Source organism: Homo sapiens, chromosome 6 (genome assembly GCF_000001405.40).
Source record: "Homo sapiens chromosome 6, GRCh38.p14 Primary Assembly".
NCBI classification, from domain to species: domain Eukaryota; kingdom Metazoa; phylum Chordata; class Mammalia; order Primates; family Hominidae; genus Homo; species Homo sapiens.
In genome coordinates, this window is record NC_000006.12 from 54,601,566 (window position 1) to 54,604,272 (window position 2,707).

The 2,707-nt window shown below is 37.5% G+C and overlaps 1 pseudogene; it reads right to left on the bottom strand.

Annotated features, from left to right (window-relative positions):
- On the bottom strand, nucleotides 1,024-1,651 carry RPL10P10 (ribosomal protein L10 pseudogene 10; annotated as a pseudogene).

Consider the following 2,707-nt stretch of genomic DNA (forward strand, 5'->3'; position numbering starts at 1 on the left):
ATAAGAGTAAGGTATTATTAGAAGCCAAAAATTGATTTAAAAGATTTCTTATCATTAACATCTAAGACAATATTTCTAAACATTAAGAAATTTTTATGGTTCTAAAAATAAGATTGACCCCCTTTCATTTGCATTCTAACTTTTGTAATATGTGTGACATATTGCTGCAAACAAGTCTGTCTGCTCAGAATAATCAGGAATGAATAATTCATCACAGATGCTGCAGATGTCGAGGACATCCTCTATTGTGCCCACCCTTTAACAAAAATAAACTCCAAAGCTGTTTGACTTGCTTCCAGTTCCTTCCAAACAGAGCCCAGCGAGAAACTGCCATTGATTTTTTTTAGAGTGAGTTGTGGAGACGGATCAATGCTAGGAAGAATAAAAACTGATTTCACCTTGAAGAATTCAGAAAGTGTTAGTTCTGAAATTAATAGACTTATAAACATTCCTAACACCCATAGGCATTTTTCTTACTAATATGCTACTCATTGTATAAAGCCAACTCTGTAATAGTAATGGGAATACTTCTTTTTCCAGCCAAGGCTTAAGAGTAAAATTCCTGCTTACTCTTTCTGAAATTCTTACAGTTATCTATCCCAGCTGCTTTGCTTGATTCTGTTTCTGCTATTGATTTACTTTTGGGCTCAATATTAACATGGGTAATAGGGTTTTGGCTTTTCTTTTATCCCAGGCACTCTAGCATAAAACACTAGCATAAGACATTTATGGGATAGGTGTTAGTTCACCCTTATCTAAAAGTCTGGAGACTTTTAGATTTAAAGAAATCACAAGCCCAGCTTCACGAGGCTATTAAATGGTAGGTCTGTATTTGCTTAAATTTAAGTCTTACTTACTATTTATTTATAGGAAGTAGGATTTATTGGTGGGCAGAAAGAGGAGAGGGCACAGTGGAAAGTCTCATGAATGTAGCATCTGCCACTGGTCCAGGAGGCCACAGTTGAGGATGTATTAGGGCGGTGCAAAAGAAATTACTTTTAATGGCAAAACCCACAATGACATTTGACCCTACAGCCATCTGGGATGAGCTGCTTCTCAGCCACCATGCCTTCAAATTCATCTGACTTGAACTTGGTAAAGCCCCACTTCTTTGAGATGTGAATCATTTGCTGGTGAGGCGACTTGAACTTGGCCCTGTATAAGGCCTCAGTCACATGCTCCTTGTTCTGCAGTTTGGAGTGAATGGACATGTGAATTGGCTCATGCGAACCCTGGCCACAGTGCCCTGAGGCTTTCCAAAGGCATCTTTCATACCCATCTGGAGCCTGTCAGCTCTAGCGCAGGACAACATCTTACTGTTCTGCATGACTTGGAAGGAGTAGAACCACACTTGGATATGAAAGCCAATTTTGCTGCAAGTTTTTATCATGTATCTGTTGGCCCAAATGTGGGCATCCTCCAGGACTTCAGAGAAGAACTGCTCATATTCATCTGACACCATGTGGCCTCAGAGTGGATACTCATCCATTTTTGCTTTCTTCTGTCCCAGGTCAAAAATGCAAATCTTGGCATCAGGGACACCTCTGCAGAAGCCAGACTTTGGGTATGTTTTGTTTTTACAATATCAGTAATACCTAGTGGAGTGTTCCATGGAGATACCAGAATTTTAAGTGGCATGCCAAATGAAAAGTGAGGAAGTCTTATTTAATATACACTTTTTAATTTTATTTGTGGCATCAATATATTTTATACACTTGAATTTACATAGTGTATAAAATAAGCCTTTTTGGGTATCATCTCTTTCTACCAATCTGCCAAATAGCAGAGGTATAGGTTGATTCAGTTAAGAACAGAATAACCTTGGTTAATAGGTGGTTGGTGGTATCATAGATTTGTATATTTCTCATGATGCCAGTATTTCTCTATTTTTTATTAACTACAATAATTAGAAAATACAGATTTTTGAGAAAATCCTAATTACTCTATGGATAAAGCTTGAAATAGAATCCTCTAAATAATGTAAACATAAACAAATTATTTTAAGTCCATTATTTAAGCAAGAATATCTCCTTTTAAAAATCATTAGTTTTCATTATTATTTTTAGAGAGAGGATTTTGTTCTGTTGCCGAGGCTGGAGTCGGTGATGCTATCATAGCTCACTGTAACCTCAAACTCCTGGATTTAAGAAATCCTCCTGTCCCAGCCTCCTGAGTAACTAGGACTGCAACAGGTGGACTGATGCATTCCTTTTGCCTGGCTTCCCAAAGTGCTAGGATTGCAGACATGAGCCACCTTACCCAGCCCGCTTTTTAAAAATTGATTTTATCTTTAGAGTAGTTTTAGGTTTACAGCAAAATTGAGCAGAAGTCACAGAAATTTCCTGTATAACCCCTGCCTTGACACATAAGCAGTCTTTTCCATTACAGCATCAACATCCCCTATCAGAGTGGCACATTTATTACAACTGATGAACCTACACTGACACATCTTTGTTACCAAACCATAATTTATATTAATTAGGGTTAACTCAGTGTTGTACATTCTATGGGTTTGGGAAAATGTATAAGGACAGGAATTCACCATTATAATATTATACAGAGTAATTTCACTGCCCTAAAAATGTTCTGTGTTCCACCTATTCATTCCTTCCACCCGTCTAGCCACTGGCAACCACTAATCTTTTTACTATCTTTATAGTCTTGCCTTTTCCAAAATGTCACATAGTTGGAATCATAGAGTATGTAG